This window comes from Homo sapiens, chromosome 2 (assembly GCF_000001405.40).
Source record: "Homo sapiens chromosome 2, GRCh38.p14 Primary Assembly".
In the NCBI taxonomy this organism is placed as follows: Eukaryota; Metazoa; Chordata; class Mammalia; order Primates; family Hominidae; genus Homo; species Homo sapiens.
Window position 1 is genome coordinate 219,512,126 of NC_000002.12, and position 12,046 is coordinate 219,524,171.

Consider the following 12,046-nt stretch of genomic DNA (forward strand, 5'->3'; position numbering starts at 1 on the left):
ATGCAGCTAATTGCTGCTCCACTTCCTGGCAGCCTGGAGCTCCCCTCACAGCACCCCCCGCATGCCCCTTATACCCAGTTACCACCCGATTTCTTTCCTTATAGAGGTTGAAGGCATCCTGCCTACCCTCAGGAGGAAAGAGGATGTGATTTGTCTCATGATGGAGGCCAGTATGTTGTCGGGGAAGTGTGACCCCAAGATCTCAATAGATGGTGGGTGAATTTAGAGATATGTATGCACTCCAGGGTAGCAACGAGTGCTGCGGAGAGTTTGGGGGGCAGTTTCCCGCTTTCTTGGCAAAGCCCCAGACTAAAGTAACCTTAAAAAGCAATTAAATCACCTTTTAAAAAAAACAGTAAAGAAAAATCAATATTAGGAGAAAGGAGAAGAGAGAGAAGGATGGGGAGGAACAGTGGGGGGAGTTCTGGAAAGGTTTGGAAGTCTACCAGGGAGGGGAGAGCATAGGAGGCGGCTGCCTGGGCATGGGACAGAGAGAGGGGGCTGTCTGTGGTCACTTGGCCACTTTCAGTGCTAACTCAGCGGCTTTGTCCAATGCCAATCCCACTTTCCCTTCTGGGACACTATGTCCCAGCCAGATGCATCACCCTGCCCCAGGGGTCTTATCTTCCCAGCTTGGGGAACCAGCTGACCCAGACTCATTGGAGGCTTGTGGGGAAGCCCAGCTGTGGGGTCCCTGGGGAAGCCACTTTGCCTAAAGGCTAGGGACAACCTAAGCAGGGCACCACGCATGGTCAGGGCTGGGTGTGTGGGCAGGCTCCATGCTGGGGTGACCCTGATGGGGCCTGACCTGGCCTTGCAGCCAGGGTGGGCAAAGTGGCTTCCAGCTGCTAAGGGAGCCATCCCTAGGCCCCTCCCCTGGGGCCAGGCAGAGGCTGCGGGGCCAGGCCTGACGCAGGGGGCGGGGTGGCCGTTGGGCAGCGGGTGGACCTCGGGCTCTAATCCCCAGCAGCTGCCGTTTCCCTCAGATCGATTCCTTTCTCACTTTTTTTCTCAGCTGCTGGTTCTGCGGCTTGGATCGATGGAGCCACCTCCCCCCGCCCGTCCACGCTTCCTCTCCCTGCTGCTCATTAGCGCCCCGATTAATCAGCCCCCCTTTCCTCCCGGGGACAAGGGCTTCCTCCCCCGTGAGGGCACATGCTGTCGGATGGGGCCCCAGAGCACAAGCACTGATTCTTGCCACCCCCACCCTGGGGGCATGGATGCATCCCCTCCTGGCCAGTCAACTGAGGCTCCCACCCCCACCTATGATGATGGCCCACATGCCTGTTCCCCTCCACGAGAACACAGCAGACCCCTTAGGGCTCTCCTGCCCCACTCTGCCAGGCACCCCTCAAACCCCTTTCTTTAGGAGAGCATTCGCTCCCATTGACGCCCAGCACATCTTCCTGCTCCCTTCCACGCCCCCACTGGGGCTCTTCCTCTCCCTCCATTGCATGCCCTGTCCCCCTACATATAGAGCACCCCGGAAGCACACCTCCCCTTTGCTCCCTGGCTTGCTTACCCAACAGCCCTCCCCCGAAGCCTGGTTGTGGCAAGGGATTTGGGGAACATTTGGGGAAGCAAAGTGGCCACAGATATGCAAGCTGGCCAGGGTGCTGTCTGTCCCAGACATATGAATGACTGAGATTGGGGTTGGGGGCAAAATGAGGGTGAGGGCAGCCAGCCTCCCAGAGGGGGCAGGGGCATGGTGGGTGTTGAAGTCTGGAGCAAAGCTCCAGGGAAGCTGAGAATCTTGAAGTCACAGTTGTCCCCTGGTCTGTCTAGCCTGCCCTCCTCTGCCCCCCTCCCTCCGTCATTCAAACAAGTGGCTCTCTCAAGGAGTTTCTGGAAGCTGCTGTGAGTCGGGTAGTGGGATCAGGTGGTGGCTGGGTGCTGGAGTCAGGAGTCTCAGAGGCCAGGAGGTGGGGGGATAGAGTTGGCTGACCCTTCATGGGGTGTGGGCCAGGAAAGTGGCAAAGAATGAGCTGAGGACCCTGGGCACGGCACCCTTCCCTGGGTGGCCAGGAAGTGGGGAGATCTGGGGACCCAGTGAGCGGCTAGGGTGCAGCAGGAGTTTGGGGGATAGCCCCAGTCTTGGGATCTCTGTCCTGGGCTGGGGACTGCCCCCTCCCCTGGCCTGGCTCCTGACGCCCGTGCTGCCGGTGAAACGCTGTTGACATGTCCTGAATTATTAAGCGTGGGGAGGGCTCCGGAGCACATGCTGAGCGGAGCGGCTGGGGCTGCGCGGCGTGGCGGAGCAGCGCTCGCTCCCTCGCTCACTCGCTCGCTCGCAGGGACACACGCAGGGGCTGACAGCTGTGCTGGTGCTGATAAGGGAAGCCACAAGGAGACGATCGAGGAGAGAGACAAGCGGCAGCAGAGGCAGCAGCGGCAGAGGCAGCACCAGGGCTGCGGAGCTGCTGGGAGTGGGAGTGACTCCCCCACCTCGGGCCCCCACCCTGTCCCTGTCCTCTTCCCGCTTGCCCTGAGTTTAGAAGAGCAGCCGCTGCCACCACTGCCACTCGGGAGGGCACCAGGGCTGCTGGCTAGGGAGGGACAGGGCAGGGAGGCTCTGGCCAGTCCCAGCAGCCGGGGACAGATGCCGATCGAGATTGTGTGCAAAATCAAATTTGCTGAGGAGGATGCGAAACCCAAGGAGAAGGAGGCAGGGGATGAGCAGAGCCTCCTCGGGGCTGTTGCCCCTGGAGCAGCCCCCCGAGACCTGGCCACCTTTGCCAGCACCAGCACCCTGCATGGACTGGGCCGGGCCTGTGGCCCAGGCCCCCACGGACTGCGCAGAACCCTGTGGGCACTGGCCCTACTCACCTCGCTGGCTGCCTTCCTGTACCAGGCGGCTGGCCTGGCCCGGGGCTACCTGACCCGGCCTCACCTGGTGGCAATGGACCCCGCTGCCCCAGCCCCAGTGGCGGGCTTCCCGGCTGTCACCCTCTGCAATATCAACCGCTTCCGGCATTCGGCACTCAGCGATGCCGACATCTTCCACCTGGCCAATCTGACAGGGCTGCCCCCCAAAGACCGGGATGGGCACCGTGCGGCTGGCCTGCGCTACCCAGAGCCTGACATGGTAGACATCCTCAACCGCACTGGCCACCAGCTCGCCGACATGCTTAAGAGCTGCAACTTCAGTGGGCATCACTGCTCCGCCAGCAACTTCTCTGTGGTGAGTTCTGCCAGCTGGGCTGCCTGGCCTTGGATGGCCGGAGGCTGGGGAGTGGGGAGGAGTGGTGGCAGTGGTGTACAGGGGCATCCTCAACAGGGCTTCCCTTCATTCCACCACCAGAGGCTGGCCTCGTGTTTCCCCAAGCCTGGCGTCTCCCTCTGGCTTCCCAGCCATGGAGCAGTGGCCGCTCATAGGGGCTTACCCTGGGGCGCCTGCTGCTCCTCTTCTTGGTTTTGCTGCTGCTGCAGTGCCCAGGTCTGGGAGTTGGGGTGGGGGTTCCTAGGCATGGGCCCAGGTGTCCTGGAGCTGGCTGGCTTGCAGGGAACGCACGCACCATCCCAAGGCCAGACCAACTGACTCTCACTTTTCTCTTGCTCCCTTTTTCTTCTGAGGCTACTGGATTCTTCCCACCAAACGAAGGAGATAGGGAGGGGAGGTTTGGGGGGCTCCATCTAGGGAAGGACCCCGGGTGGCCTCCTGGGGAGCTGGCCTGGTGGGCAGGCTGGAGAGACCCGGTCTTCAGGACACTGGGTGCCAGTGTCTCTTCTGGATCTCTGTGTGTCTCTCACATGCCTGCCTCACAGACTCCCTCACACATCCCTCTTTCATTCTGCCCTCCAGCCCTCCTGGGGTCCAGTCCCCCTCTGTCTCCTGTTCTAGCGGCTCCCATGCCCAGCTCTGGCTCTTACACTGGGAATCACTGGTTCACTCTTATGTGCATAACTCACCCTCACTGCTGCCCCAGCACGGGTGCATGCACACATGCACACGCACACACGCACACGCACTGCTGGGGGACACAGTTTCCTGCACACTCCCTCTCTCACTCACTGTCCCTGTCACTACACTCACATGCACACCTGCACACCCACACCCAGAGAGCTACTCATCTCCATGTCTAGCTCCCAGCTCTCGCTTAGCTGCCAAGGACAGGGTCCCACTGTGGATGCCATCCCTTCTCATGACACCCCCACCCCCATCTATCCCAACCGCTGCTCCCCATTTGGAGACTGCTGGCGCCATCTGTCACCTACGTGTGAGCACAAACACAAGCACCCTCTCCGGGAGAGGGGTGTGAGCTTGGGCTGCTCTGCCATGCACGCCTCCCACAGTCAGGTATGTGAGGGGGTGGGCGTGTCTTGTACACTGCCTGTCTGTCAGGGCTCCATTCACCCATAGTCACAGGGTATCTAGTATTCATGGCGCTCGAGATGCTTGTCCCTAGTCCACAGTTTGCTCCCAGCATTGTGTGTGCATGCGTGTATGTTTCATCCTCGTTGCCACTGCCCAGTGCATATGCAAATGTTTGGCGTCAACATGGTGCCCACTCCAGCCCAGCCTCCAGCAGCCAGCCCCAGTGATAGGGACCCCCGCCAGGTTCTCACTCACCCGCTGCCTCAGGATCACCAGGAAACATGCTCCAGCCAACGAGGTTCCTGGCCCCCACCATGCCTGCAGTGTCTGGGGCCTCCCGCCATTGGGCAGGGGAGTTAGGTAGAAATAGAGGGACAGGAGCAGGAGCATTGTGCAGGGAGAAGAGTCGGGGGCATTGGCCTGTTGTCCGGCTGTACACCCCCTTTCCTAGGGAAAAGCACTGCTCCCCAAAGCAAGGGTTGGTAGAGTCCCCGAGGAGGAGGTGGGATATGGAGGGTGAGTGTGGCCTTTGGGATCCATAGGGCTCTGCTGTCCTCAATCCTCACCACTCCGTATTGGGAGCTGGGCAGAGCTCAGTCTTAGCAGGTGCTGTTGGGACAGAAATCAATGGGATCTTTGTGTCCCCGAGCGGGAGTTGGGGGTGGGCAGGAAAGGGGAAGGGTGATGAGACCTCAGTGAGAGGAAAGGAGAGGAAGAGCTGGAGGGGGTGAGGAAGTAAGGGGAGGGAGGCAGAGGGTTCTGCTTGGTCTCCAGGCTAGGAGGCGGTGCCTGGAGGATACAGGAACGGGGATCCTCTGATCAAGGCTGGTGAGTCCCCGGAATCCTGGGGATGGCCTGGAGGAGTGTGGGTGGATTTCCCACAGGCCCTCTGGTACCCTGGGGCTGGAGAAAGGAGGATGGTAGAAGTCCGTGGGCTGAGGTTCTGGCCCTGGTGCAGGACAGTGGGGGTAGAGGGCATAGCTAGCATTGGGGGACAGGAATTCCCCTTTGGGATTTCCATTTCCCCTGTCTCCAGCCCAGCCTCCTACTCTTCTGCACATACTGCATCCCCCGTCTGCTGAGTGTAACTCTGTCTTGGGTCTGGCATTCAAGGGCTGAGTCTGCTGCAGATTCACCAGGGTCTGGAATTACAGATTGGGCTGGGGGCCCATGATCCATGGTAGTGGGGAAGATGGGGTGTATTACAGGGGAAAGACTGGAGAATGGGCATGGAGATGAAGATATGGGGTCTCCAAAAAGGACGTGAGGTCCATAATCAGCTCTGTGGTGAGGACCTGGAGTCAATGATGGGGATTTGGGGTCTATGGTGGGGAGATGGGTATGTGAGCTGGTTGGTGGGGAGCCTGCCGGGGTATGGGTGGTGAGATGGTCAGAGACAGGGACAGGCTTCACCAAGGGGCTGTTATGTGTTTTCTGTTGCTTTCCCTGTTTCCTCCTTCCCACTCCCCACTCTGCTGTGACCTTTCCTCTGGAATCCAAGTTAATAAATGTCACATTTTCCAGCCTATTTTTACTCCGGGTAATGTGCCCTCCCCCAGTCCCCTCTGCTGCTGCTCTTGCTTCTGTTACCACTGCAATCGCTCTCCCCCCACGCTCCCTAATATCCCTTCATGCACTCCCAATCAGTCAGTCAATCAATCAACATGGAGTTCTGGGTGCCTACTATGTGTTGGGCTCCCTGCTCAGAGCTGTGGAGGACAGCAAAGATGGGAAGCCCTGTCCCCAGTCCCTGTCCTCAAGCAGCCTATAGTCTCGTAGAGTGGGGACAGGGACACTCAGAAGTTTAAGCAACCATGCAAGAGTTAATCAGCCATGCAAGTGGTGTCATAAGGTGCCAGGATCAATTGCCAGACGAGGTGCATGGGTAGTAAGAGGTCGAGTTCAGAGAAGGAGAGGCCATTCTGGGTGGAGGAGAGCTGGGAGGGCCTAGGGGATGAGGCAGGCTGGGCAGTTTGGAGAAGAGGGAAGAGAGGAAAGAGGAGAGGGCCCTGGGAGGTGGGCCCCGTATGTTTGCTCTGCATGGTGGCTAGCTCCAGCTAGTTTACCTCTGCTCCTCTCTTCTCCCTCCCCTCTTCACTCAGTCTCATACCATCTCACTCCCGCCCATTCTACCACCTGTATGTCCCCCACCCCCAGCCTTGTAGACAGCTCTCCCTTCCTCCCTGATTCCTGCCGCCATCTGCTACCCACACCCCCTTCCTCCAAGCCCCAGTTCTACCTTCCCCACTGCGGCCTGCTCTCAGCCTGCCCTCTTACTAAAAGGCAGAAATCACTCTTTCTCCCTAGGCTTCATTTCTTGAGCTGTAAAATGCAAGGGTGGCTCTAAAATTCAGCATCTCCTCTCACCTGGGGACCACCAGGATTCGAACCTCGGCTCTACGCATTAAGCTGTGTGGCCGTGGGGAAGCCAAAAAGCTTCTGTGAGCATCGGTTTGTGTATTCTTTTTTTTGTTTGTTTTTTTGAGACAGAGTCTCGTTGTTGCCCAGGCTGGAGTGCAGCGGCGCGATCTCGGCTCACTACAGGCTCCGCCCCCCGGGGTTCATGCCATTCTCTTGCCTCAGCCTCCTGAGTAGCTGGGACTACAGGTGCCCGCCACCTCGCCCGGCTAATTTTTTGTAATTTTAGTACAGATGGGGTTTCACTGTGTTAGCCAGGATGGTCTCGATCTCCTGACCTCGTGATCCGCCCGCCTTGGCCTCCCAAAGTGCTGGGTGTATTCTTTAAATAGGATATTAGAACCTAAAAATTGGGGGTTGTTGTGAGGATTAAAGAGATGCTCCTAAAGAGCTTAGCACACTACCTGGCACACACATCGTATACTCTGTGTAAGCGTCAGCTGTTATAAATGCCGCCACCCCAACTGCTGGCTATCTTTAACCTGACTGTTGTCAGCACCACCTACTGGTTTCCGACCCATGTGCTGGCATCTTCATTACTCTCCATTACCTAGTCATCGCCCCGCTTTTGACCCTCTGGCCCACACCCTCCTCTGCCCTGTACTAGCATTTCCATTCTATCCAGCCCTCCAAAATATGCATGCACGTGTGCATAGGTGCAGGAGTGCGCACACACTGTCTAGATCAGTGCTGCCAATAGAACATTCTGTGGTGATGGACACGCTCTGCACCTGTGCTTGTCCAACTTGGTAGTCACTAGCCACATGTGGCTGTTGAGCACTTGAAATGCGATTAGTGCGACAGAGAAAATGAATTTTACATTCAAATAGCCATACGTGGCTATAGGCTGCCGTGTTGGACAGCGCAGCTCTGGATGGCCCTAGGAATGAGATTGTCTGGGTAGGGCAGGGCTGGGATTACAACTGGGACCACAGGATATAAAGGGTAGCTGCGGGCTGTGACTGGAAGTCGGGCCATCTACTCTGTGGGCTGTGATCTCAGGTGGAGCTGAGGATAGGGCCTGTGTCTGGGGGCTGGGGGCTGGGGGCAGTGGGGTGTCTGGAGACACCACGTGAGCAAAGGTGCTTTCTTCCCAGGTGCAGGACATGACCTTGGTCTTTTCCACGCTACTGTCTGGAAAATTGAGGCTGGGGGAGGCGAAGAAACCCTGAGGAGGCATGGGTAGGAGCCAGCCCCACTCCTCAGGGTCCTCAAGGGTCCAGGCAGCCCCGGGGGGCCAGGAGCCTGGGGCCCTGTGGGCGCCTCACTATCTCCATCCCCTATGGGCTCTCCGGTCTCCCTCCCCCTCCCGACCCTCCTTCTCCACATGCTGGTGACTGCCATGACTATTAATCACTCGCCCTGTTCTCTTCCTCTCTACTAATCAGGCACAATTAGACAAGGCCTCTTCCAGCTGGGCAGTCCCTCCCCTGCCCTCCTCTCTCCTCTCCCTGCCCCACCCAGCCGCCAGCCAGGACAGCTCTGAGGCACAGAAAGCATGCAAGCCCTCTCTCTCTCTGGCTGTCCCAGGACCCAGTTTCGGGCTCCTTAGCACCCACTCCTTCTGTCCCAGCGACCTCCTTAGCTCCTTCTCTTCCCAGTGTGTGGTCAGGCCACTACTGACAGTCTCTGCCCTCCACCCCCTACACTTGGCCCTGGGAGGAGCTACTCCACACTCCATCCCAACTCTACATCTTTGCCACTGGGTTGGAGGTTCCAAGGGCTGCCCCTTGCCCCGTTGGCTGTGGAAGGGAGAGGGTGCCCACTGAGGTGGGTTCAAGCCTCTTATCTACCGCACAGGCTTGCCTCTGACTCCCCCTGCCTGTCCAGCCCTCTGTTCCCTGTGGTCCCAGCTTCTCCTGAGGCATGAGCCTTAAGCACATTTAGTTCAACATCTGGTTCAGGGCTGATCCTGCCCTCAGGAGCCAGGCAGGTCAGGTTGGGGTGGGGGGATACAGTAGGGAAGGGTGGGGTCTGAGGAGAACTGAAGACCACTTAGTCTTGAAGGACGCAGCTGCTTCTCAGCCCTAGCTAACTGTTGCCCTGTGTGAGGAGCCCAGCATGGCTGGGTCTTCCAGTCTGTCAAAAGCAGCTCCAAATCGTGATTATTTTAATAGAACAGTAACTGATTTAAAAAATACTGAGGGCTGCCAACCCCTCAGATTGCAGAACCAGGTGCACCCACCCTCCCCACCTTCCACCCCACACCAGCTGCGGCTCAGACCCTCCTGGAGGGGTGCTGTCAGCCTGCCTGCTTGGGCAGTGGAGTGGGTGGAGGGGATGTAAGTGGTGTGGCCTGGCAGGGAAGGGCAGTGACTGTTACTGTCTCAGAGGGCTGGTCTTCAAGGGCAGTGGGAGGGCCATGAGGGACATGCCCCACCCAGCCCCACTCAGCAGCCCCGTGGCCTCTTCATTAATCAGGAATCAGCCCCGAGCTGGGCTCATTATCAGCTCAGCTTCTCAGACACTGCCGGAAGATGCTGATTAGCGTTTGAAGAAATGGCCCCACGTCCTGTCCCCCTCTGATCCTCCCTCTGTCTCCCCTGCCCGCACTCCTTCCTGGACCCCCACCCCTGCCCTTCTGCTTCTTGGGAGGAATCTGCTCCCTCTTGTGGCTGGCGGCAGGGCTGCCTCTGCTAGGTCCAGGCAGGGGGCAGGAAGGATCAGGAATGGAGAGGCAGGGGCACCCAGGAAGCACTACAGGGAGCATTGGAATGCCAAGACCCAAGCTACTCAGTCCCCGAGTCGTCAGTGGGTCCCATGGGCAGGCAGGAGGGAGTGAAGGGGGTGGAGCCTGAGGTGGTCCAGGAGAGATGGACAGCCACCCTGCAGGAGGGGACAGAGGCCGGCCTCAGGCTGCCTCTGAGTTATAAGTTATAAGTATTCCTGAGTTATAAGTATTCCTTGCCCTTCCAGGCTGGCCCTGCAGCCCACCTCCTTTGAGCAGCTGGGAAGAGGAGGTGGGAACGGCCAGCACTGGGGGCAGGAGGCCCGAGGGGAGAAGATCTGCCACGTTTGTTTGTTTTTTAATTTTTTTGCAAATCATGGTGGAAACTTAGGGTCTTCAGAAGGATGAGTGAGGATGGGAAGGCAGGAGGAGGACAGAGGGGCAGAGATCCTGAGAGTGGAGATGGGAAGGTTCAGTGGTGTGTTTTCTAGGAAGAGGTGGGCAGGGGTCTGCACTTCTTCCCCTGGCTCCTAGGCTGGGGCTGGCAGCGCTGGAAATCCAACCCACCCCTCAAATGCTCACCATGCCCTTGGGACACCCGTGGGTGTTGGGTTGGAGGGGGAGCAGTTCCAGAGAGATAGGCACGGGCTGCAGCAGCCGAGGCGGCAGCAAGAGTTCAGAGAGGAGCCACGGGATGATTAAGGGGAAATGGAGGATTGATTTAGGAGGAAAGATTAAAGGAGCTAAATCCGTGGCGCTTGGCTCAGCGGTGACTAAGCGTGGACAGGATAATAGCTTACAAATGTGTGGAAGGTGTAAATACCAAACGGGGGGAGGGGAGGCGGCTCGGCGGGCCCGGAGGGTGGGGTGGGGGCTGGGCAGGTCCCCGGGGAGGGCTGGGAACCCCTGGGCGACTGCCCGGTGGGGTCGGCCCCTCCCCAGTGGGGGCTCACGGGGGAAGGAAACGGGACGTTGGGGAGCCCCAGGTTCCCAGTAGGGGTTCCGTTTCTGGTCGCAGCCTCCCGGGCCTCGTGCTGATCATGTCTCACTCCCGCCTGGCTGGGGATCTGAGGTCGCGGGTTCAAATCCCACCCGAGCACCCAAGTCCCTCAGTGCCCCCGGCCCCGGGCCTTTTGGCCGCTTCAGGCCCGCCAGCCAGGCCCAGCTCCGCATCCATCTCCTCGGGACCCCCGCCCCCGTCGCCCCCTCCCCGGCCGCCGCGGGGGCGGGCGGCGGTGTTTCCCTCCGCGGTGGAAGCCTCTGGCGCTGCTGTGTGCGGAGGTCACTTTGCCGAGGAGCCGGGAGCCGGGGGAATGCAAATGAGGCAGACCCAGGGAGGAGAGCGGAGGAGCCCGCAGGAGATGGGAGGGAGGGCGCTCGGGAGCCGTGATGGATGCCTGGCCCGCGGGAGGGAGCGGAGGGCGGCGAGGCGCGCGAGCCGGTGGGTGCGGCCCTCTGGGTGCGGGTGGGCCAGGCCTGGGCGGCCAGGCTGTGTGTGCGGGAGAGGGCGGGGGGCCAGGGATCCTGGCAGGCGCACACCCACCCACCCACCGTCCCCGCCGCCTCTTTCTGTCTTGTCTCCTGAACTCCCGCCTGGCTGTGGGAGTGTGCTCCACTGTATAAGCAAAACTCTTGACGAGGAACTTTGCATCGAGGGGCGGGAATGTCAGGGAAGGACTTACTTACCAATTCACCAATTAAAAACTGACTTTCTAGGGTGTAAGGCCTAAGCGGTCGCTGCCTGGGGAATGGTTTTGACCGTTTACCTGGGTCCCGGAGGCCTTCATCCTCCCGTTCTCCTCTCCCGTGGAAGCGCGGCGCCCGCCGGGGACCACAGCCTTCTTCCACGGCCCCCAGCCCTCCCTGGCTCCTAGGGCTCCCCTGTCCCTTCCACCACAGCTCACACATTTACATTTGAACAAACACCTCAGCCATTGCCTCCTAGATCCACTGTAGGGAGGAAGTGGCCCTGAAAAGCTCATGGGTGGCGGTGGAGGTGGGGGGTCCCTGTATGCACGTGTAGAACTAAGCCTGCTGAGGGCGCTGTGTCTTCCTCTTTCTTGAGTGTGGCATTGTCTGATGCCCCTCCTGGGTGAGCCAGGTGGCTTGTTTAGAGAAGTTTTTCCTGACCCTGCAAGCCAAATTGAGCTCCTGTTCCACCGTGGTGACCTTGGCTAGGTCACCCCATCACTACAAGGATCACAACTAGTAACAATTTATCCATTTGTGTGACTGGTGGATTTGTGAACATGCCTGGTGCAGTTCAAAGTGTTTATGTTGTAAGTGCCCCATAAGCACTTTTTTTTTTTTTTGAGACAGGGTCACGCTCTGTTGCCCAGGCTGGAGTGCAGTGGTGCCATCACGGTGGCTCCCTGCAGCCTCAACCTCCCAGACTCAAGAGATCCTCCCACCTCAGCCTCCTGAGTAGCTGGGACTACATGTGTGAGCCACCATGCCTGGCTAATTTATTATTATTTGTAGAGACGAGGTCTCGCTATGTTGCCTAGATTGGTCTCAAATTCTTGGGCTCAATCGATCCTCCTACCTTGGCCTCCTAAAGTGCCGGGATTACAAGTGTGAGCCACCGTGCCTAGCCCATAAGTACTTTGAATGAATGAATGTCTCTGCAGCCAGACAGCAAGCTC

General features: G+C 58.9%; 1 protein-coding gene and 1 long non-coding RNA gene across 7 annotated transcripts in view, besides 4 other annotated features; one reads left to right on the top strand and one right to left on the bottom strand.

Annotated features, from left to right (window-relative positions):
- Nucleotides 1-4,961, bottom strand: part of ASIC4-AS1 (ASIC4 antisense RNA 1) — a 35,355-nt gene extending 30,394 nt beyond the window's left edge. Inside the window, exon 1 of the long non-coding RNA XR_923921.2 lies at nucleotides 4,571-4,961. This is a non-coding gene — a long non-coding RNA (ASIC4 antisense RNA 1). The remainder of the gene's footprint in view (nucleotides 1-4,570) is intronic.
- The window catches only part of ASIC4 (acid sensing ion channel subunit family member 4), a 31,680-nt gene that overhangs the window by 5,033 nt on the left and 14,601 nt on the right, over nucleotides 1-12,046 (top strand). For 4 of the 6 annotated variants that reach the window (NM_018674.6, NM_182847.3, XM_047444916.1 and 1 more), the window contains exon 1: nucleotides 2,357-3,181. In NM_018674.6, the coding sequence (NP_061144.4) occupies nucleotides 2,600-3,181 (582 nt within the window). In that variant the 5' untranslated portion in view covers nucleotides 2,357-2,599. Of the gene's footprint in view, nucleotides 1-104; nucleotides 213-1,015; nucleotides 3,182-5,079; nucleotides 5,144-12,046 lie in introns of those variants that run through there. The other 2 variants (XM_047444917.1, XM_017004439.2) reach the window with 2 other exon arrangements.
- Nucleotides 354-995: an enhancer, noted in NCBI's record as "H3K27ac-H3K4me1 hESC enhancer chr2:220377201-220377842 (GRCh37/hg19 assembly coordinates)". NCBI's record gives its function as "activates a minimal SCP1, AML or CMV promoter by ChIP-STARR-seq in primed H9 embryonic stem cells {active_cell/tissue: H9 hESC(primed)}" and the evidence as "EXISTENCE:reporter gene assay evidence [ECO:0000049][PMID:30033119]".
- Nucleotides 2,280-2,455: a silencer, noted in NCBI's record as "fragment chr2:220379127-220379302 (GRCh37/hg19 assembly coordinates)". NCBI's record gives its function as "represses an EF-1alpha promoter that drives an FKBP-Casp9 reporter gene in an ReSE screen in K562 erythroleukemia cells {active_cell/tissue: K562}" and the evidence as "EXISTENCE:reporter gene assay evidence [ECO:0000049][PMID:32094911]".
- Nucleotides 10,785-11,285: an enhancer, noted in NCBI's record as "H3K4me1 hESC enhancer chr2:220387632-220388132 (GRCh37/hg19 assembly coordinates)". NCBI's record gives its function as "activates a minimal SCP1, AML or CMV promoter by ChIP-STARR-seq in naive H9 embryonic stem cells {active_cell/tissue: H9 hESC(naive)}" and the evidence as "EXISTENCE:reporter gene assay evidence [ECO:0000049][PMID:30033119]".
- Nucleotides 11,286-11,786: an enhancer, noted in NCBI's record as "H3K4me1 hESC enhancer chr2:220388133-220388633 (GRCh37/hg19 assembly coordinates)". NCBI's record gives its function as "activates a minimal SCP1, AML or CMV promoter by ChIP-STARR-seq in naive H9 embryonic stem cells {active_cell/tissue: H9 hESC(naive)}" and the evidence as "EXISTENCE:reporter gene assay evidence [ECO:0000049][PMID:30033119]".